Source organism: Homo sapiens, chromosome 15 (genome assembly GCF_000001405.40).
Source record: "Homo sapiens chromosome 15, GRCh38.p14 Primary Assembly".
Classification (NCBI taxonomy): Eukaryota; Metazoa; Chordata; class Mammalia; order Primates; family Hominidae; genus Homo; species Homo sapiens.
In genome coordinates this window covers 56,885,752-56,906,892 of record NC_000015.10, presented here as the reverse complement: position 1 = coordinate 56,906,892, position 21,141 = coordinate 56,885,752, and the positions used below count along the sequence as shown (strand labels likewise).

Here is a 21,141-nt window from a genome sequence, read left to right as displayed (position 1 = left end):
CAATATGTCTAAGTGGGTTCATTGTTTATTCTGTCAATCAAATAGAAACAAAGATCTAGACACAGTAGACAGTTCAAAAGATTTACATTTTAAGACAAAGTACATAACAGAATATTCATTAAAGACAGCTTTAAAATAGTTAATGTGAGTACCCATCAAGGATATGCAAGTAAAATGAGATCCCATGTTACAACTGCCAAATTAGCATGGATATTTTAAAAAGCATGATGATCAATGCCGGTGAATATGCAGCTATAGGCACCCATAAACACTGCTGGATTGAATGTAGATTAGGAATTAGTAAATTAATAATTAGCCAAAACCACTATGGAAAGCAACTATTCAGTATATCTCAAGAGCCTTCTAAATGCTCATACTCTCGACCTAGTGATTCTACTTACAAAAAATTTCTACTTTCAGGAAAATAGGGGAAAAGTTTTATTTGTAAAGAAAAGCATTATGTTTATAAGATTTAAAAATAGATATCCAGTGAGGAGGAATTAATAACATATTATGGTAGATCAAGAGAATTTTCAAATCTATGGCATTTTTTTAACCGTGTTTTTTTTAATGAAATTTAGAAAGTTTTTCCTACAATTGGAAAAGGCTTATATCGATGTTACGGAGAAAAAAGTAGGCTATGAAACCATAAAAGCATAATCTCTTTCTGAACTTACTCTTTCTTACATTTGATAGTAAAATTCAGTTTCTCTGATTTAACCAACCAGTGATTCTCTGAAACACTCTGAAATTTACCCTTTGGTTTTTCCCCTTCCTGGTTTCCTTTGCCAGCCCTTCTCTATACTCTTAGTCCAGTGCTTAATTTCCCTTTTAGCCAAATAATACAGTTTTCTTAGAAATGTAGCTTCATTGCATTCATTTGTTGAATCAAAAGTTCTCTGATTTGTTTTGCCATCCTTGCCTTAGTGTTAATCTGCCAAACAGGCATGTAAAATGTAAATAATGTTTCTTACACCTGTATTTTTTTTGTTTTTTCTTGTTTGTTTGTTTGTTTCTCTTGAGACAGAGTCTCACTCTTTTGCCCAAATTAGAGTGCAATGACACGATCTCGACTCACTGCAATCTCTGCCTCCTGAGTTCAAGCAAGTCTCCTGCCTCAGCCTCCTAAATAGCCAGGATTACAGGCATGTGCCACCACGCCCAGCTAATGTTTTTTTTTTTTTTTGATGTCTTTATTAAAGCAGAACTTTCTTTTTTTTTTTTATTATACTTTAAGTTCTAGGGTACATGTGCACAACGTGCAGGTTTGTTACATATGTATACATGTGCTATGTTGGTGTGCTGCACCCATTAACTCATCATTTACATTAGGTATATCTCCTAATGCTATCCCTCCCCACTCCCCCAGCCCCACGACAGGTCCCGGTGAGCGATGTTCACCTTCCTGTGTCCAAGTGTTCTCATTGTTCAATTCCCATCTATGAGTGAGAACATGTGGTGTTTGTTTTTTTGTCCTTGTGATAGTTTGCTGAGAATGATGGATTCCAGCTTCATCCATGTCCCTACAAAGGACATGAACTCATCATTTTTTATGGCTGCATAGTATTCCATGTTGTATATGTGCCACATTTTCTTAATGCAATCTATCATTGATGGACATTTGGGTTGGTTCCAAGTCTTTGCTATTGTGAATAGTGCCACAATAAACATACGTGTGCATATGTCTTTATAGCAGCATGATTTATAATCCTTTGGGTATATACCCAGTGGTGGGATGGCTGGGTCAAATGGTATTTCTAGTACTAGATCCTTGAGGAATCACCATGCCGTCTTCCACAATGGTTGAACTAGTTTACAGTCCCACCAACAGTGTAAAAGTGTTCCTATTTCTCCACATCCTCTCCAGCACCTGTTATTTCCTGACTTTTTAATGATTGCCATTCTAACTGGTGTGAGATGGTATCTCCTTGTGGTTTTGATTTGCATTTCTCTGATGGCCAGTCATGATGAGCATTTTTTCATGTGTCTGTTGGCTGCGTCAATGTCTTCTTTTGAGAAGTGTCTGTTCATATCCTTCGCCCACTTTTTGATGGGGTTGTTTGTTTTTTTCTTGTAAATTTGTTTGAGTTCTTTGTAGATTCTGGATATTAGCCCTTTGTCAGATGGGTAGATTGCAAAAATTTTCTCCCATTCTGTAGGTTGCCTATTCACTCTGATGGTAGTTTCTTTTGCTGTGCAGAAGCTCTTTAGTTTAATTAGATCCCATTTGTCAATTTTGGCTTTTGTTGCCATTGCTTTTGGTGTTTTAGACATGAAGTGCTTGCCCATGCCTATATCCTGAATGGTATTGCCTAGGTTTTCTTCTAGGGTTTTTATGGTTTTAGGTCTAACATTTAAGTCTTTAATTTATCTTGAATTAATTTTTGTATAAGGTGTAAGGAAGGGATCCAGTTTCAGCTTCCTACCCATGGCTAGCCAGTTTTCCCAGCACCATTTATTAAATAGTGAATCCTTTCCCCATTTCTTGTTTTTCTCAGGTTTGTCAAAGATCAGATGGTTGTAGATGTGTGGTATTATTTCTGAGGCCTCTATTCTGTTCCATTGGTCTATATCTCTGTTTTGGTACCAGTACCATGCTGTTTTGGTTACTGTAGCCTTGTAGTATAGTTTGAAGTCAGGAAGCGTGATGCCTCCAGCTTTGTTCTTTTGACTTAGGATTGTCTCAGCTATGCGGGCTCTTTTTCGGTTCCATATGAACTTTAAAGTGGTTTTTTCCAATTCTGTGAAGAAAGTCATTGGTAGCTTGATGAGGATGGCATTGAATCTATAAATTACCTTGGGCAGTGTGGCCATTTTCATGATATTGATTCTTCCTATGAACATCGATGCAAAAATCCATAATAAAATACTGGCAAACCGAATCCAGCAGCACATCAAAAAGCTTATCCACTGTAATCAAGTGGGCTTCATCCCTGGAACGCAAGGCTAGTTCAACATATGCAAATCAATAAACGTAATCCAGCATATAAACAGCACCAAAGACAAAAACCGCATGATTATCTCAACAGATGCAGCATAGGCCTTTGACAAAATTAATAGCCCTTCATGCTAAAAACTCTCAATAAATTACGTGTTGATGAGACATATCTCAAAATAATAAGAGCTATCTATGACAAACCCACACCCAATATCATACTGAATGGGCAAAAACTGGAAGCATTCCCTTTGAAAACTGGCACAAGATAGGGATGCCCTCTCTCACCACTCCTATTCAACATAGTGTTGGAAGTTTTGGCCAGGGCAATCAGGCAGGAAAAAGAAATAAAGGGTATTCAATTAGGAAAAGAGGAAGTCAAATTGTCCCTGTTTGCAGATGACATGATTGTATATTTAGAAAACCCCATCGTCTCAGCCCAAAATCTCCTTAAGCTGATAAGCAACTTCAGCAAAGTCTCAGGATACAAAATCAATGTGCAAAAATCACAAGAATTCTTATACACCAATAACAGACAGAGAGCCAAATCATGAGTGAACTCCCATTCACAACTGCTTCAAAGAGAATAAAATACCTAGGAATCCAACTTACAAGGGATGTGAAGGACCTCTTCAAGGAGAACTGCATACCACTGCTCAATGAAATAAAAGAGGACACAAACAAATGAAGAACATTCCATGCTCATGTTTTGTATTTTTTTTAGTAGAGATGGGGTTTTGCCATGTTGGCCAAGATGGTCTCAAATTCCTGACCTCAGATGATCCACCTGCCTCGGCCTCCCAAAGTGCTGGGATTACAGGTGTGAGCCACCACACCAAGCCTGCACCTGTATTTTTTAAAAATCTTGTATACATAAATAATTTTGTTTATCCTTCATAAATTAATTGTCCCTTTAGATTTAATGTTTGTTGGATTTCTGAATCCTAAAATGATGTCCCTTTATATTAAAAATGGAAAAATACAGAAATGTAAAAAACTGAAATAAAATTTCATATAGTTCCACTGCATAAAGACAACTTCTAGTAGTTGAGAAAATTTTTTTCTGGTCTTCATTATTTGTCAAGGTTAAAGAGTTGAAAATAACTGGATCTTGTGCCTCTTAAAATCTATTTTCCCTAAATAAAAAAGAAGAAAGAAATAAGAATAAGAAAGAATGTAAATTTCATTTATAATATCATCGTAAGGAGACAACCTAAAGATTTTTTGGTGTGTTTCCTCTCTTTTCTAATCTTTGTTTATGTACATGCATGTGTATACATACATAATATATATTACAAACTTAAGATTATGCTCTCAATACAAGTTTATAAACTCATTATTTTAGGAAAATTTTCAAACACATAAAAAAGTAGAAAGAACAGTATAATGAACCCCTTTGAAACTCCACCCAGCTTCAACATTTATTGAAACATTTCTACCTCCAGATTAATTTGAAACAAACATCAAATTATTTCATTCACAAATGTTTCTTCATTTACATCTAAAAGATAAGGACACTTGTAAAAAATATAATGACAATATCATTGTAACATCTCACAGTTTTCATTTAAATGTTTTAATATCGTCAAGTATTCAGTGTTCGGATTTCTCCCAATTGTCTCATGTTTATTATAGTTAATTTGTTCAAAATTGAGATCCAAATAAAGTCCACATGTTGTATTATTTGATATGTGTCTTAAGCCTCTTAATCTTTTGCTTCTCCCTCCTTCTCTTTTATTGGATTTGTTGAGGCAAAATTGAGTTGTTTGTCCTATAGGACTTTCCATAGTGTGAATTCCTTCCTTCCTTCCTTCCTTCCTTCCTTCCTCCCTCCCTCCTTCTTTATTCCTTCCTTCCTTCCTTTCTTTCTTTCTTTTTCTGTTTTTGAAACAGGGTCTTGTTCTGTCACCCTAGCTGGAGTGCAGTGGTGCAATCAGGGCTCAATGTAGCCTCGACCTCCTGGGCTCAAGCAATCCTCCCACTTCAGCCTCCCAAGTAGCTGGGACTATAGACACAAGCCACCACGCCTGGGTAATTTTTTTTTTATTTGTACAGATCAGGTCTGATTATGTTTTCCAGGCTGATCTTGAACTTCCGGGCACAAGCAATCCTCCAATCTCAGCCTCCCAAAATGCTGGGATTATAGGTGTAAGCCATCACGACTGGCCTATAGTGTAAATTTTCTAATTGTAACTCCTTTAGTGTTATTTAATATGTTTCTTTATCTTCTGTATTTTGTTATTATTTAGGTATATAGGCTTGATCAAATTCTAGTTTGATTTTTGGCAAGAATATTTGATATGTGATAATGTAGGAGACATATGTCTGCTTGTTAATCTTTTTGTAAAGTTAGTCATCATTAATGATCATTCCCTAGCTGCATTATTTCACTAGGGGTTACAATATGATGACACTCTATCATTTCTACATCAATTATTAGCTGAAATATTCTGTAAAGAGAAACCTCCTATCATCAACTATTGGGTTACCCTGAGGTACAATTTATATATGAGAAATGAACTAGATGCTTGATTCATTCTCTGTATTTACCAGTTTTTTAAATAATAAGTTGGTTTCCTTGTATCTTCCAAAGGTACCAACAGAGGTTTTTTTGTCTTAGAGTATCAATCTGAGCTGACTAAAACATATTTACCATGCATCTATCCATTACGGATGGAATTCATGCTCAAGCTCTTCCTCACCTCTTTGATCGATGGAAGCATCTTCAGGTTTATTCCTGAGTCTCTTTTGACATGACTTAGAAGTCTTTTATACTTACCTTCTGATGTGACAGGGAACCCAGCAAAAGTTTATTTTGTTTGTTTGTTTTTGAGACAGGGTCTCACTCTGTCCCCCAGGCTGGAGTGCAGTCGTGCCATCATGGCTCACTGCAGCTTCAACTTGCTAGGCTCAAGTTATCCTCCCACTTCGGCCTCCCAAAGGGCTGGGATTACAGGTGTGAGCCACCATGCCCAGCCAAAAATGTTATTTTTAATGGCTGCATCGTAAGCCTATACTATTATTTATTTAATAAGTCCACTGTTCGGGGGAAGGGGCTTTATATAATTTCTAATGGTTCTCTACTATAAATACAGTGATGCACCACATAGTGACATTTTGGTCAATGGTGGGTTGCATATATGATGGTAGTCCCATAAGATGATAATGGAGCTGACAATTTTCTATCATCTAGTGATGTAACTGTTCTAATGTCTTTGCACAATGCATTACCTTTTCTATGTTTAGATACACAAATAATTACCATTATATTCCAGCTGCATATAGTATTCAGTATAGTAACATACTATACAGGTTTATAGCCTAGGAGTAATAGGCTATAACACATACCCTAGGTGTGTAGTAGGCTATACCATCTAGGTTTGTGTAAGTGCACTCTATGATGATTGCACAGTGATAAAATCACCTAATAATGCATTTCTCAGAACTTATACTATCGTTAAGTAACACATAGCTATACTTAGCTGTTTTATAGAAATAGTGTGCGTAGGTGACTGAAAATGTACTCATAAATGTTTTCTCTATTATTATTTAATGTTTAAAGAAAGGCTAGCCGGGCGTGGTGGCTCACGCCTGTAATCCCAGCACTTGGGGAGGCCGAGGCGGGTGGATCACTTGAGGTCAGGAGTTCGAGACCACCCTGGCCAACATGGTGAAACCCCATCTCTACTAAAAACACAAAAATTAGATGGGTGTGGTGCTGCGTGCCTGTAATCCTGCTACTTGGGAGGCTTGAACCTGGGAGGCGGAGGATGCAGTGAGCTGAGATCATGCCACTGCACTCCAGCCTGGTTAACAGAGTGAGACTCTATCTCAAAAAAAAAAAAAAAAGTAAGACTAGTTAACTAGCTTGTTTGTGGTCTGGCCTATAGGCCAGGGTACATCATTCAGTCATCACAGATATCTACCTCTAGGGTGGGGCTTGCAAACAATGAATTAAAAAGTGGAAGCAAATGTGATATAAAAACTCTGGGAGAGGGGGGCAAATACATGTTTAGGTTTCCAACACCCATTAGTCCCAGAGAATATTCTGCTTCTTAGAACTGTAATCCCTCTCACAGTCCCTGGACATTTCATTGCTCACCAACAGGATAAGATAAGCCTTGGTGGGAGTATGATAGATGGAAAATTTTTATTGGTAAACTCTATTGGAGGTGGCTCACTGATAACTACACAACAGGTTATAAAAGGAAAGTCAATGTCTCTCAACTACCCAAAATTGCCTATTGGCCGGTTGGAAATAACTGGACTTGCTAAATGTTAAAATGAATTAAGCCGTCTTACAAATACATGCAATTGGCATACATTTATTTTATTTTACTTTGGAGACATTCTCACTCTGTTGTCTAGGCCGGAGTGCAGTGGCATGATCTCGGCTCACTGCAGCCTCCACCTCCTGGGCTCAAGTGATGGTCCTGCCCCAGCCCCCCAAGTAGCTGGGACTGTAGGCACACATCACCACGCCTGGCTAATTTGTTTGTATTATTTGTAGAGACAGGGTTTCACCATGTTGTCCAGGCTGGTCTCCTGAGCTTGAGCGATTGGCCCACCTCAGCCTCCCGAAGTGTTAGGATTACAGGCATGAGCCACTGCACCTGGCTACATTTTAAAGTACTAAAAGTTTTCTTTGATTTCTGAATGTGATACTTCTAATTCTGATTGACATATACAATCTGCCTCTTTCCCAGAATGTTTGAAAGCTATTTTTCTAAAATTCTTGGGCATAGGCAGCAACTCTTTTCTTTTTTTTAAGTTTAATTTTATTTTAGGTTCTGGGATACATGTACAGGACATGCATAGGCATGTTTGATACATAGGCAAACTTGTGCCATGATGGTTTTCTGCATCTATCAACCCATCACCTAGGGATTAAGCCCCACATGCATTAGCTGTTTATCCTGAGGCTCTCCCTCCCCCCGCTCCCCTACCCCCGACTGGCCCCAGTCGTGTTGTTCCCCTCCCTCTGTCCATGTGTTCTCATTATTCACCTCCCACTTATAAGTGAGAACATACTATGTTTGGTTTTCTATTCCTGCATTAGTTTGCTGAGGATAATGGCTTCCAGCTCTATCCATGTTCCTGCAAAGAACATGATCCCATTCCTTTTTGTGGCTGTATAGTATACCATGGTATATATATAGCACATTTTCTTTATCTAGTCTATCATTGATGAGCATTTGGGTCGATCCCATGTCTTTGCTATTGTGAATAGTGCTACAGTGAACATACACATGCGTGTATGTTTATAATAGAATGATTTATATTCCTTTGGGTATATACCCAGTAATGGGATTGCTGGGTCAAATGATATTTCTGGTTCTAGGTCTCTGAGGAATCACCACATTGTCTTCCACAATGGTTGAACTAATTTACATTCCTACCAACAGTGTAAAAGTGTTCCTATTTCTCCACAGCCTCACCAGCATCTGTTGTTTCTTGACTTTTTAATAATCAGCATTATAACTGGCGTGAGACAGTATTTCACTGTAGTTTTGATTTGCATTTCTCTAATGATTAGTGATGTTCAGCTTTTCTTCATATGTTACTTGGCCACATAAATATCTGCTTTTGAGAAGTGTCTATTCATGTCCTTTACCCACTTTTTAATGGGGTTGTTTGGGTTTTTTTCTTGTAAATTTAAGTTCCTTGTAAATTTTGGATATTAGACCTTTGTCAGGTGGATAGATTGCAAAAATGTTCTCCCATTCTGCAGGTTGTCTGTTCACTCTGATGATAGTTTCTTTTCCTGTACAGGAGCTCTTTAGTTTAATTAGATCCCATTTGTCAAGTTTTGCTTTTGACCAACTCTTTTCTTTAGGAAGAAAATGAAGTTATAATAGCAGTCTCCAGAAGTAACCCAGCAATGATATAACCCAGTCATCACATACTTTCTTTATTTACTCAGTTTATATGGTCAGGTTCGGTGAGATAAAGGTGTTATTGGTCAAAACTCATTAAGTGAAATTAGTTAAAATTCATAGCTATATTAAAAAAATAACTCCTACCTGACAGAACAGTTAACATTCACCCTTCAAATTATAGAGGACCTCAAGCATCAAATGCTTAAGCAGAATGCAGAGTGTGTTTGGATTTGTGCAGTTTCCATGTTCTGCTCTCAAGACACTTACAGTCTACCATGCCAAAACAGAAAACTGATATAAATGCATTTCAGTAGGCAGTTATGTTAATTTCCCATTCTTTTATTTCATTTTTCTTAATTATAAGGTGAGGGTTGTGTGGATGGTTGTAAGGATGGTTACTGGATAAAATACAGGATGCCCAGTTAAATTTGAATTTCAGATAAACAAGGAATAATTTTTTAGTATAACAAATATTGTATGGAACATGCTTATTTTAAAAATTATTCCTTGCTTATCTAAAATTCAAATTTAACTGAGTGCCATGTCCTGCATTAAATCTAGTAACCCTACGGATGAGTAGAGCATAATGATGAGTGATCCTTGAAAATTTTTTTTAAAACAATATGTCTTATAATATAGAGTAACACTTCTCAAACTGTAATATTTACACAAATCACCTGACTGCTTGTTAGAAAGCTGTATTAGTCCATTCTCACACCACTAATAAAGACATACCTGAGACTGGGTAATTTATAAAGAAAAAGAGGTTTAATGGTCTCACAGTTCCACGTGGCTGAGGAGGCCTCACAATCATGGCAGAAGGCAAAGGAGAAGTAAAGACATGTCTTACGCGGTGGCAGGCAAGAGAGCGTGTGCAAGGGAACTGCCCTTTATAAAACCATTAGATCTCATGAGACTTATTTACTATCACAAGAACAGCACAGGAAAAACCTGCCCCATGACTCAATTACCTCCCACTGGGTACGTGTGATATGTGATATGTGGGGATTATGGGAGCTACAATTCAAGATGAGATTTGGGTGGGGACACAACCAAACCATATCAAAAGCAAATCCAAATTCTGCAGATCTGGAACAGGATCTGAGATTCTGCATTTCTTTTTTCTTTTTAATTTTTTTAATTTTTTTTTTTTTGAAATGGAGTCTCACTCTGTTGCCCAGGCTGGAGTGCAGTGGCGCTATCTTGGCTCACTGCAAGCTCCGCCTCCCGGGTTCAGGTCATTCTCCTGCCTCAGCCTCCCGAGTAGCTGGGACTACAGGCGCCCGCCACCACGCCCAGCTAATTTTTTGTATTTTTTAGTAGAGACGGGGTTTCACAGTGTTAGCCAGGATGGTATCGATCTCCTGACCTCGTGATCTGCCTGCCTCGGCCTCCCAAAGTGCTGGGATTACAAGCGTGAGCCACCACGCCCGGTCTGAGATTCTGCATTTCTAAAAAGCTTCCATTTGATATTGATGCTGCTGCTCCATGGACCACTCTGCAATGACGCAGTGGATATCTGTTTTGGGGGGAATTTTTGTTTTTGTTTTGTTTTCCCAGCTGCCCAGCATCTGAACTGTCTAAGCTTGGAGAATTCACTGGTATGTGAGTCTTAGAAGTAAAGCCTGATTCTCACTTTCTAGAAACTGATAGAAGTCATCACATAGTCACTTCACCATCCCCCCTTGCAACTTGGATTCAGGTGCTTGAGCTACCCTCCTCTAATTAGAAGCACCTGCATGGCTTTGAGTCAGAAACTAATAACCCAAAGAAGCAAGGATAGCAGTCAGTTCTCTTTCTCTTGCAACAGTGCAGTTGTGGCCAAATTGAGTTCCCAAAGCAGTGGTGTTGGTCAAGAAAGGAGCAGAGTCTAGCATGCTCAGCAGCATTAGTAATAGTAATCTTCTCACTGGGTTGCCTCTGCAGCATTATTTTGGGCATTGGTCTTGGCTGCACCACTTTGAGCTTGGTTCTCAACTCACATAATGATTCTGTGGGCTACCCAATTCCTTTGCCGCTAAATCATGCAGGATTGATTTTTGTTGCTTGAAACTAAAAACCCCATTGAAGCCAAAGGGTCTGCCAGAAGCTAGATGGCTTGCACAGCCCCGTCAGATGCACTATGTTTATGGAATGCCACCTAGGTCACCACTCAGCTTGATCTTTGCCTCACAGAGTGAAGAGGGTTCAGAGAGAGAGGCAAATGCCCTCTAGGTGGAAGGGTATCTATTCCCTGGCATACATTTCTATGCCTCCTCTGGAGAGGTTTCTGACAACGACTGCTTTTGGCTTAATAGGACTAGATTTATATGCTAACCCTGTCACCAACTAGTTATGTACATGAGTTTGGGCAAATTACTTAGCCTCTATGAGCTCCATTTCCTTGGCTGTGAAAGGGAGTTAAGACATGTTTTTATTATTGGATTTTTTCACATTATACATGATTATTTTACAACTTTTTTGAAGTATAATTTACATATAATAAAATTCACTCAAGTGTACATTTCAATTACTTTTAGTAAATTTATTGAGGTGTGCAGCTATTATTATAATCCAATTTAAAAGCATTTTCATCACCCCCAAAAGATCCTTCATGATCATTTATAGTTAATCACCATTCTCACCCCTAGCCCAGCAAACACCAATCTGCCTTCTGTCTCTATACATTTTCCCTTTCTGGACATCTTATATAAACAGAATAATACAATTATAACTATTTTTTACACTAGCTGTTTCTGCTATACAGACAGTCCCTGACTGACAATGGTTCCACTTAGGATTTTTTTTGACTTTATGATGGTGCAAAAGTGATTTACGTTCAGTAGAAATTTTACTGTTGAGTACCCATACAACCATTCTATTTTTCACTTTCAGTACAGTATTCAATAAATTACACAAGATACTTAGCACTTTATTATAAAATAGACTTTGTGTTAGACAACTTTGCCCAACTGTAGGCTAGTATAAGTGTTCTGAGGATGTTTAAGGTAGGCTAGGCTAAGCTATCACATTCAGTAGCTGTATTAAATGCATTTTTGATTTACAATATTTTCAACTTAAAATGGGTTTATTGGAATATAATCCCGTCATAAGTGGAGAAGCATCTGTATAGTGAGTTTCCTAAAAGCCTATATCTCTATATCTAACTGAATTGTTTATCTACAAAAGACATAGCACAGTGTTTGTATATAGTTAAGTGCTCCAGATAAGAAACAAAACACTGATACTTTTCCTATGATGTGGTTGTGGTGAAGATTAAATAAATCCATTAGACTTTTGCTACTCCAAGTGGTATCAGCATCACCAGGGAGCTGGTTAGAAATGTAGTCTCAGGGCCCATCCCAGACTTAGCGAATTAGAATCTGTAGTTTCACAAGATTCTCAGGTGATTCACAGTCTCATAAAAGTTTAAGAAGTACTATTCTATTGTAAGTTCTTTGAGGGCAGGGATTACGTGTGGCACATAGCATGTGCTCAGTAGTATTTTTTGTTTGAATAAATGAATGGTGCCACATAAGAAAGTATTTTGTAAACTTAAGTCTTACATACACAGGACTTTAAGTATAGGACTTTAAGTCCTATATACACAGGATTGTGAAAGAACAGCGGTATAGATTTTGGGCTTAACTATAAAATCTTTTAGAGAAAGTTTGGACTGGCACTTATAGTCCTAGTTTACATATCGAAGCAAGTATATTTATTTTTCTTACATCTGAGTGACAATTCCATGAGGAAACCGAGTTTTAGATAGGAAATATAATAGTCCCTTAACTGAAATTGACTTTATAGTGAATTTATTAGCATGACAATTAATTATGAAACTTCTGAAGATTGACAAAATTTATTTGGTTCTATTTTCTGTAAGAGATAAGATCTTGATCAACAGCTAGGAAGCTGATGGTCAGGCTTTACGGGACAGGATTGGTAGATGTTGTATAGTTATTATCAACCTCTAACAAGGAAAACCCATCTAGTTTTCCACTTACAGTCTTCTGGCTTGAAATGCTTTAATTTATTCATTTAATCATTCTTCAAATCATCAAATATTTATCAAATTTGTCACTCTGACGAGTGCTGTGCCAGGACTTTCTGATGGATTGCCAGGTACAATATTCTTGAGGAGTTCCATATCAATACAATGACGACACCTTTTCAACTACATGGGCTAACAAAAGACTTTTTATGAATTCATGAATGTTAAAGTCTTAAAATGCTATTAAAATCAAACCACATTGGCTATATATTTAACAAGTCTGTTGAAAAGGGTAAAGTTATATTTTCCAGATAAATCCAGTCTATATGGTTAATACTTACAGAATAGGAATTGCTTGTACTTAGGGTTGCTCAAGGAATATAAGAGGGGTGTCCTGGCAATTTTCCATTTGCACCTACAGATCCATTTTTTACCCTATTTGTCTTGCTTTTTACTGGCAGCTGAACTCTACAGACTGTGCCACACAAGCCCTCTGGTTTCTGGTTTGGTCAATGGGAGGTACCAACAGAAGTTTGGAGGATGGGAGGAAAAGAGGACAAGTGTTTATTCCCCGGTCCTTTGCTGGGCCACATTTTGGCAGTGACTGTATTTCTTTATTTATAGTAACAGCCTTTGTCAGGCATCCCTTTCCAAGCTACAGCTCTTACAGGGTTCCACTAATAGCTCCCCTCCCCTGTTCCTTCAAGCTTAAGGTCTCCCATTGTTGCCAGTCCTTAAGTACTTTACCATTCCTTGTTGGTTCCCTTAACCATTCCCATCCCTCTATAAATTATCCCTTTATTAAGCTCTTGTTACCTTCTTAGAGTGTGCCATCTTTAGTAATAAAAGAAGAGGCCATAAATCAGCCAGTATCTAAGGACCGCCTGCTGAGGTGGCACTGTTAAGACATATAATACATGATCTTGCTCTTGAGACACTTACAGTCAGCCCAGTGAAGGAGATAAAACCAACACATGTGAAGCAATTAGGAAACACTACACATTGTCATCTAATGAGATACTCCGTTTGTTTGCCTCTTACTAACATTCACCCTTCTTCTGGTAACCATCCCCTGATTTTCCTCTTCTGTTACTTCAGTCAATGTCTTTTGGGTGGAGTGAACTTCATTTTCAAAAACATTAATGACATGAATCAGACCTGAGCTACTGGATTCCTCTAGCCACATATCCCAATCAGAGCCAGTGAAATGTAAGAAGACTATTGCTGGCACCTGTGGGAAGGAAGCATGCACTCTTCCACTGAGATTGCTAACAGTAAGGATTATGTAAACTGGAGCTGTCAGCAGCCACCACATGGAGCCTAAAAATGAAGCCAGCACACAAGACAGAGTCAAGAGATGAAAAGAAATAGAATTCTAATGACATTGCTTAAGCCCTTGGATCAAACTATGCCTTAAGCTAAATATATAACTAGTTTTTCACTAAAATAGCTCTAACAATTCATAAATTGATACCAGGAATGGGGATTAGTAACAGAAAGATCCAGAAATGTTGAAGTAGCTGATTCAGATGAGGCCTCATTGGTATCAGGCTGGGACTTCGATACCAAAGCAGTAGGTTAAACTGGCACCTGTTGTATAGTGGGATTCAGAACATGTGCCTATCAAGGATAAAATGTAAAAGGGCCTGTTGTTAAAAGGTCGGATACTAAAATATATCAACTATTACTTGTTAGTTTTTAGTAATGTCCTTTAAGAAAGGCTCAAACTTAGGACTAAGATTGATTTATCTAAGGCAGAGAGGAAAAGATACCACTTTGTTACAAGTGAACATTTTTGCTTATAGGCTGCAATAAAAGATGACAGAAACATCAATAATCTGGAGCCATAAAGGGTTGAAAAAGCCCCAAGAGGATGTTAATGTTAATGAAGGCAAGAATGGATAACATTGGCACTAGGGAGAAGTCTTAATACACTCAGGCCTCTTTCAAGCAATTCCTGCCTGCTGAGAAAGGTAATAGTTATTCCACTCTACTCCCTCCACCACCAGCTCACACACCATCATCACTCCCTCCCCTTGCAAACCCAGTGGCTATTGTTTCAAATTGTTATCAGGCAGAAACCAAAATAGAGGCCTCTAAGTTAGAATACCAAGGCCTATTACTAAAAGACAAAAATGCTCAGATGAAAATCTAGATTCAAAGACTGAAGCTTAAAAAAAACCCTCTGGCTTTGGAATTCTCCCCCTATGGAATTGGCCAGATGCAAATAGACTAGAAGTTTACTAAGAATTAAAGAAAACTGGGCGAGGCACAGTGGCTCATGCCTCTAATCCTAGCACTTTGGGAGGCCGAGGCAGGCGGATCACCCGAGGTCAGGAGTTCAAGACCAGCCTGGCCAACATGGTGAAACCCTGTCTCTACTAAAAATGCAAAAATTAGCCAGGTGTGGTGGCACACACCTGAAATCCCAGCTACTCAGGAGGCTGAGGTGGGAGAATTGCTTGAACCCGAGAGGTGGACATTGCATGAACTGAGATAGCACCACTGCACTCCAGCCTGGGCAACAAGAACAAGACTTTGTCTCAAAAAAAAAAAAAAAAAAAAAAAAGAATTAAAGAAAATTGTACTGTGAGAGAAATCCTAAGTGTGGAGAAGAAAGGCTAGGTTACTTAAGCTTAACACAATAGATATTTATTTTTCACTTTTGTAAAGTCTAACATCAGTGCCCCTAAGTAGCAGGTGGTCTTCTACAAAATCATTCAACTACCCAGACTCCTTCTATCTTATGGCTCTAATGTCCTCCAGGTTCTTAGAGACCTTTCAGTGCAGCCAGAAGAGGGAAAAAGAGACTGGCAAAGGCATACCTACTACTTAACCAAATTGGCTAGAAGTGGTACACATCACTTTCACTCATATTCCAATGGAGACAGTCATGTGACTTTACCAAAGTTAACAAGGAGGCTGGGAAATGTAGCCCCTGGCTAGGTAGCTACTTCCCAGCAACAATTGTATACAACAGAAGAGGTTCACAACTCTTGGGTGGTAAAAGCTAATTATCTTTGCCATAGGAAGTGATTTTTCAATTCCCACTAGATCAGGAAGGAGAATGCTGAAGAGGTGTAGTCCCTAAAGGATTATCCTCCCATTGTCCATTACAGACATAGCCATGGAGGAACAATGAATGAGAGGTCCTCCAGAAATAGAACATATGGCAGCCAGATTGGTTGATCAAAGAACTTTCTCCCCTCTCATGTTAGGAAGCCCTTGCTATTCCTGTCTAGCAAGATATGACATATGCTATGAATTAGAGACATTTTGTGTTTGTCATTATTCATATTTCCAAATATGCATTTTCATTGCAGTTGTTCTTTTTTTCTGTCATTATATATTAAGTATTTTCTAGTTAATTTTATCATACAGCCTTAGGTTACTAGGCCATGAAGAACTTTATCAAATTGCTTTATGATATAGAGGCATGCATATCACCTTACTATCCTGGACTTGGAGTTATTTGTAGGACCTAGATGTGAGTACATTTTGGGTGGTAAAAAAACATTGTTACATTGAGTAGCCATAGATATCATTGAAGGCATATGTAGGGGAAGAATGTTTGGAGACCTCAATAAAATACCAGGGATGTGTTTGTGTCTGCTGTTTCCATTACCCAGGGCACATCTGTGCTTCTTCTGATAACCATACCCCTATTTTAAGTAAAAATCATCTGTGCCATTCATATGTTACTGATAGACACAACTCCTGGGATGGGCTTGTGAATCAGTCCAGGCCAATCTGAGCATCTCATTCTTTTGGCTACAGTGATTGGCTGACAAAAGAATGGGCGCTTGACCTTTGCTAGTAGTGAGGATGGTCTGGAGCTTCTGGTTGCTCATTTGTGGAATGAATGAAGCAAACAGCAGAGGAGAGCGCTAACATGTGGGGGAGAATCTGACTCTCTTTTTTTTTTTTTTTTGAGACAGAATCTTGCTCTGTCACCCAGGCTGGAGTGCAATGGTGCAATCTCAAGCTCACTGCAACCTCTGTGCAGGTTCAAGTGGAGAATCTGAATCTTGATGATATAATTGGAACTCTTCAGCCAAGCCATATCTAACAGAACTATCTTCAACTTTTCAGGTATGTGAGAATACATTCCCTTCTCACTTTACACCAATTTGGGTTGGATTTTATGTCACTTGTAACCAATGGATCCTTACTGAATCAAATACTAAATTATTTGAGGATAGATCCATAAACAAATACATATAGGAATGAGTGAATATAAATGTACTTCTGGGGCAAACCTAACTAAAATGGAAGTGGTAGACTGAGGAGTGGTTCACAGAGTAGAAGAGAACTAGGCTGGGGCAAGAGCTTGAAATTCAGTCAGGGCTAGGCACAGTGGCTCACGCATGTAATCCCAGCACTCTGAGAAGCCGGGGCAGGTGGATCACTTGAGCCCAGGAGTTCAAGACCAGCCTGGGCAACATGGCAAAAACCTGTCTCTACAAAAAATAAAAATAAAAAAATTGCCAGTTGTGGTGGCACATGCCTGTAGTCCCAGTTACTCGGGAGGCTGAGGTGGGAGGTTCACTTGAACACTGAGAGGTAGAGGCTGCAGTGAGCTGTGATCGCTCCATTGCACTCCAGCCTGGGCACCTAGGCGACAGAATGAGAACCTGTCTCAAAAAAAAGAAAAAGAGATTCAGTCACAAGAGTTTAAATTTAAGGAAATAGAAAATGTAGCCATAAAGGTGCTGAAGCACAAAGAAATGTGCTAAGAGTGAAGATTCAGAACCATTATTCTGGCAAGTTAGATTGGAGCAGAGCGAGAAGGAAGTCAGAAAGGCCACATAGAAACTGCTGAACTAAGCCTAGCTGGCTGCATTTAAGGGCTTAGACAGAGAACCTGAAGTAGAGACAGAGGAAGGGATCTGACAGAGGAGGTATTTTAAAGGATAAATTGAAGGCCCTGAGATGACTGGATAAAAGAAATAAAGGGAAGGAACAGGTAAAAAATGACATCGGTGTTTTCAGCTTGGGTGGCAGAGATAGCAGTGGTATCAATGAGAAAGAAGGGAAGTGATTTTGGAAAGATAATGAGATTATGAGATTGGTTTTAGACCTGTCGAAACCTAAAGATGGCAGGACGTCCAGTTAGATACGTTGATGAGATAAAGAGGCAAATATACAAGTTGGGGGAAAAAAAGGTGACATTAAAGATAAGGATCTGCACAGAAGAAACATTTGAACCAATAGTTATAGATCAGTAGAAGAGGGTGAGAGAAAAACAGAAATAAACACTTACTGCTAGACCAAGAGGAAAAAAAGTGGTGTCTCTGAATGAAATGAAATGTAGTGTCTGGTGGAGACACAGGAAGAATGCAGGACACTTTAGTGCATACAAAACTTAGAGAAGTTTCAAATTATGTTAAAAGTAAATGCCAAGCATGCACATACTCATCACCCCATCTCCAGCCTTATTTCTAACTGTTTTTCTGGCTTACTGCACAGCATTCACATTGGCCTCCTTTCTACTAATTCAGACTCACCAAACTGTCTCTGGCTGCAGAGCCTTGGCACTTGCTCTTACTTCTGCCCAGAATCTTCTCCCCAACCCCCCCAACCCCAATATTTGCTTGGCTTTCTACCTCATTTATCTAGACCTCTGTTTAAACATAACTTCCTCAAAGAGGCCTTCTTCAATCAACTTATCTAAAATATAAAATAATGTTCAACTCTCATCTGCATACTTCGTCCTTCTGCTCTTTTTCTTCATAGCGCTCTTCCCTACATGACATTATACAATTGTATATGATTGTAAATGTACTATCTCCCCCACTAGAGCAACTGTAATGAGGTTCCATGAGTGCATTCGTTTTACTCACTGACGTATGTCTGATAAGTAGAACAGAGCCTGGAACAAACAAAGCCTTCAGTAAGAGTTTATTTCATGATGAATGAGTGAAATGCAGTAATTAAGATGAAAAGAAAAAAAATCACAAGAGGTCCAAGTTTAAGTCACAATTCCTAGAACATGCCTATCATTTCACCCAAAAACTCTGCTTAAGGCTCTCATTCTGGCTGCATCTCCTCAAGGGGAAGGGAATTAAGGGAAGTTTGCTACTGCCAAGGAAGGGACTTGGGATACTTTCCTGGATGATAGTGGTAAGAATGCTGTTTTCTCCACAATTACTTCGTTAATAAGAGACATGTCCAATTCCAGACTTCACAGGGTTCCTTCTCCAGCTGAGCTCCAAGTGGAGCTTTGAGAGAAAAACAGAAGGGTGATGGCTAGAAGACTCAGGCTTCCAAAGTATTCCTCTCCTGAGTATCAGCTACCAGGTGAATTTCACAATGAGGATGACAACTTGGAAGGGGCAAGAGTCACGTGCCTGAGGGGAAAGGTCACCAGGGTGCAATCTCTGTTAATCCTTCTCTATACCCAGCTTCCCGATGCGGCCTGTACAGAAACAAGCACGCAGGCACTTAAGAGGACAGTGGTTTCACCGTGTCCCTCCCGGCGGCGCTCCCCACCTTTCCTTCCTCCCCACACGCCCCTCCCAGGCTGCAGGCTTAGCAGCCGACTTCCGCTGATCCCGGCTGGAGGGAGCCTGGAATCCAATTACTCTTCCCTAGGGAGCGCAATCCACCCGTCTGGCCGCAAAGAGCGGAGCCGGGGTCCGAGAGCCGCACAGGCCGGCCCTGCTCCGCCCGCCCCCACTTCCCGCCACCCCTGCCTCGGGCTCGGCAGCCCGGGCGGGGCGAGCAGAGCCGCGTAGAGGTGCGCGGCACTGCCGCCGGAACTATTTGTCCTTCCGCGCGCGGCCCGGCCCGGCGGGGCGAGAGGTTCGCGGCGCTGCATCCCGGGCGCCGACGTCAGCCGGGCTGAGTGGCAGGAGATTAGCCAAGGGCTTCCCCCGCCGCGCGTCCGGGCCAATCGGCTCCGCGGGCGGTGCTCCAGGGACGCGCACACGCACTTTCCAGAATCCACGCCTCCCAGCAACAGCCTCCAGCACCGCGACGCTGCCCTTCCGGCCCGCTTTCTTCGTCCGGCCTGCTACGGCTGCGGGCTTGGACCCTGGCCTCTAGTCTCCTGCGTGCTGCTCCCTAAAGTGACAGGGAAACGGGGCAAGAGGTCCAAGGGTTCCGTAGGAGAAAGAGTATCTGTGGCTCTCCCACCGTCCCGGCTTCCCTAACGGACTAGGGAGTGAAGCTCTGGAGATGGATCTTTGGGAGGAAAAAACTGGACCTCTCTTCGGGTTCTTTAGAGTTTAGGTGGAGAACTCTTTCAGTACCATTGAGTGTTCTCTAGTAAGAGGATCTTACACTGTTGGGTTTCTCACTTGCTTTAAAATTGTGGTCAGAGTACTTCATAAATCCTTTCCTTTCTGCATCTGGGGGAAGGAAAAAAAATGCAACACTCTCTTTACACATTGTCAGACTTTCGAGGCCGCAACGCAACTGACATACATGCTAGAAGGAGAAAGTGCTATATTATGCCTTGTGTCCTCTTTTGAATCACATTCTCCTGAGATGTGGCTGACCCTTAGGCCCATGGTGTTCCTGAATGTGATTGACATGCGTAGTTAGCAAGCTAGTGAGAGAGAACCAGGAAAATTGCTATCAAAACAATTACATACAGGGACATCAGAACAAACGCTTGAGACCACTGGGGAATGAGGGACCATCCCAGTTCTGCCACGGATGCCTTCGGGGATGGTGGCCAAGTCAGATCTTTGTGTCTTGTTTCTTCGTAGCAGATTGAATAGAACTATCTTCACCACACTCACTATTTCAAAGTGTGTTATAAACATTTCACTTAAGGTGAAAATGTTGAAGGTTTTATTTTGGGTGGAGGGAAGGTGGTGCCATTGAAAGGCACTCTCTGAAGGGAAGATTCTGTAAAAGGAAGCCATTTTATCTGCCTACAATTTGGTCATTTCAAAGAAATTCAATGTATATGTGTTAAGACTAATTTATATGCTGAGTTGTGTGCTATGTGGTCTTCATAAGAGTTATAATCTAGTAAACCCAGCTAACTCCTGCATTCTCAAACGGTTTCCCATGCCTGTGCCAGTTTCCATCCCTAAATTCTCGGCAGTTTCATTCCCTATTTCTGCTCAAAGGCTACAAACCATTGCTAGTTACAGGTACAGAACGGTGCTGCGGTGGGAGCTCCCCACTTGAGTCTAAACTGTGGCTGGAGTTCAGACGTGTGGATGTATCTGTGGAACTGATAGGGCAAGGCTCTAGAAGCCAATTGACTGGAGCGATTGAGGAGCCTCCTGGGACAGAACAAATCTTTGAGGAAGAAGGAGCCAGACACACTGAGCTTGAGCTAGGAACAAAGATAAAGTCTTGGGAAGGGAGGGGTCCTTTTGCATTCAGCCTTGTGT

General features: G+C 40.1%; 2 long non-coding RNA genes across 3 annotated transcripts in view, besides 3 other annotated features; one reads left to right on the top strand and one right to left on the bottom strand.

The window, feature by feature from the left end:
- TCF12-DT (TCF12 divergent transcript) overlaps nt 1-20,723 on the top strand; it is a 32,330-nt gene extending 11,607 nt beyond the window's left edge. Inside the window, exons 3-4 of the long non-coding RNA NR_015419.2 lie at nt 16,726-16,879; nt 18,969-20,723. This is a non-coding gene — a long non-coding RNA (TCF12 divergent transcript). The remainder of the gene's footprint in view (nt 1-16,725; nt 16,880-18,968) is intronic.
- Nucleotides 14,483-15,042: an enhancer, noted in NCBI's record as "NANOG hESC enhancer chr15:57184049-57184608 (GRCh37/hg19 assembly coordinates)". NCBI's record gives its function as "activates a minimal SCP1, AML or CMV promoter by ChIP-STARR-seq in naive H9 embryonic stem cells {active_cell/tissue: H9 hESC(naive)}" and the evidence as "EXISTENCE:reporter gene assay evidence [ECO:0000049][PMID:30033119]".
- LINC03065 (long intergenic non-protein coding RNA 3065) lies at nt 18,672-19,825 on the bottom strand. Of its 2 annotated transcripts, none has more exons than NR_183869.1 (2): nt 19,723-19,825; nt 18,672-19,205 (listed from the first exon to the last, which is right to left on the bottom strand). It is a non-coding gene; the product is annotated as a long intergenic non-protein coding RNA 3065 (long non-coding RNA). The 2 variants fall into 2 exon arrangements; NR_183870.1 differs by having other exon boundaries at nt 18,672-19,137.
- Nucleotides 19,352-19,781: a silencer, noted in NCBI's record as "silent region_6467". NCBI's record gives its function as "represses an Ori minimal core promoter by ATAC-STARR-seq in GM12878 lymphoblastoid cells {active_cell/tissue: GM12878}" and the evidence as "EXISTENCE:reporter gene assay evidence [ECO:0000049][PMID:35858748]".
- Nucleotides 19,902-19,991: an enhancer, noted in NCBI's record as "active region_9457". NCBI's record gives its function as "activates an Ori minimal core promoter by ATAC-STARR-seq in GM12878 lymphoblastoid cells {active_cell/tissue: GM12878}" and the evidence as "EXISTENCE:reporter gene assay evidence [ECO:0000049][PMID:35858748]".
- Nucleotides 20,724-21,141: the final 418 nt, after the last annotated feature.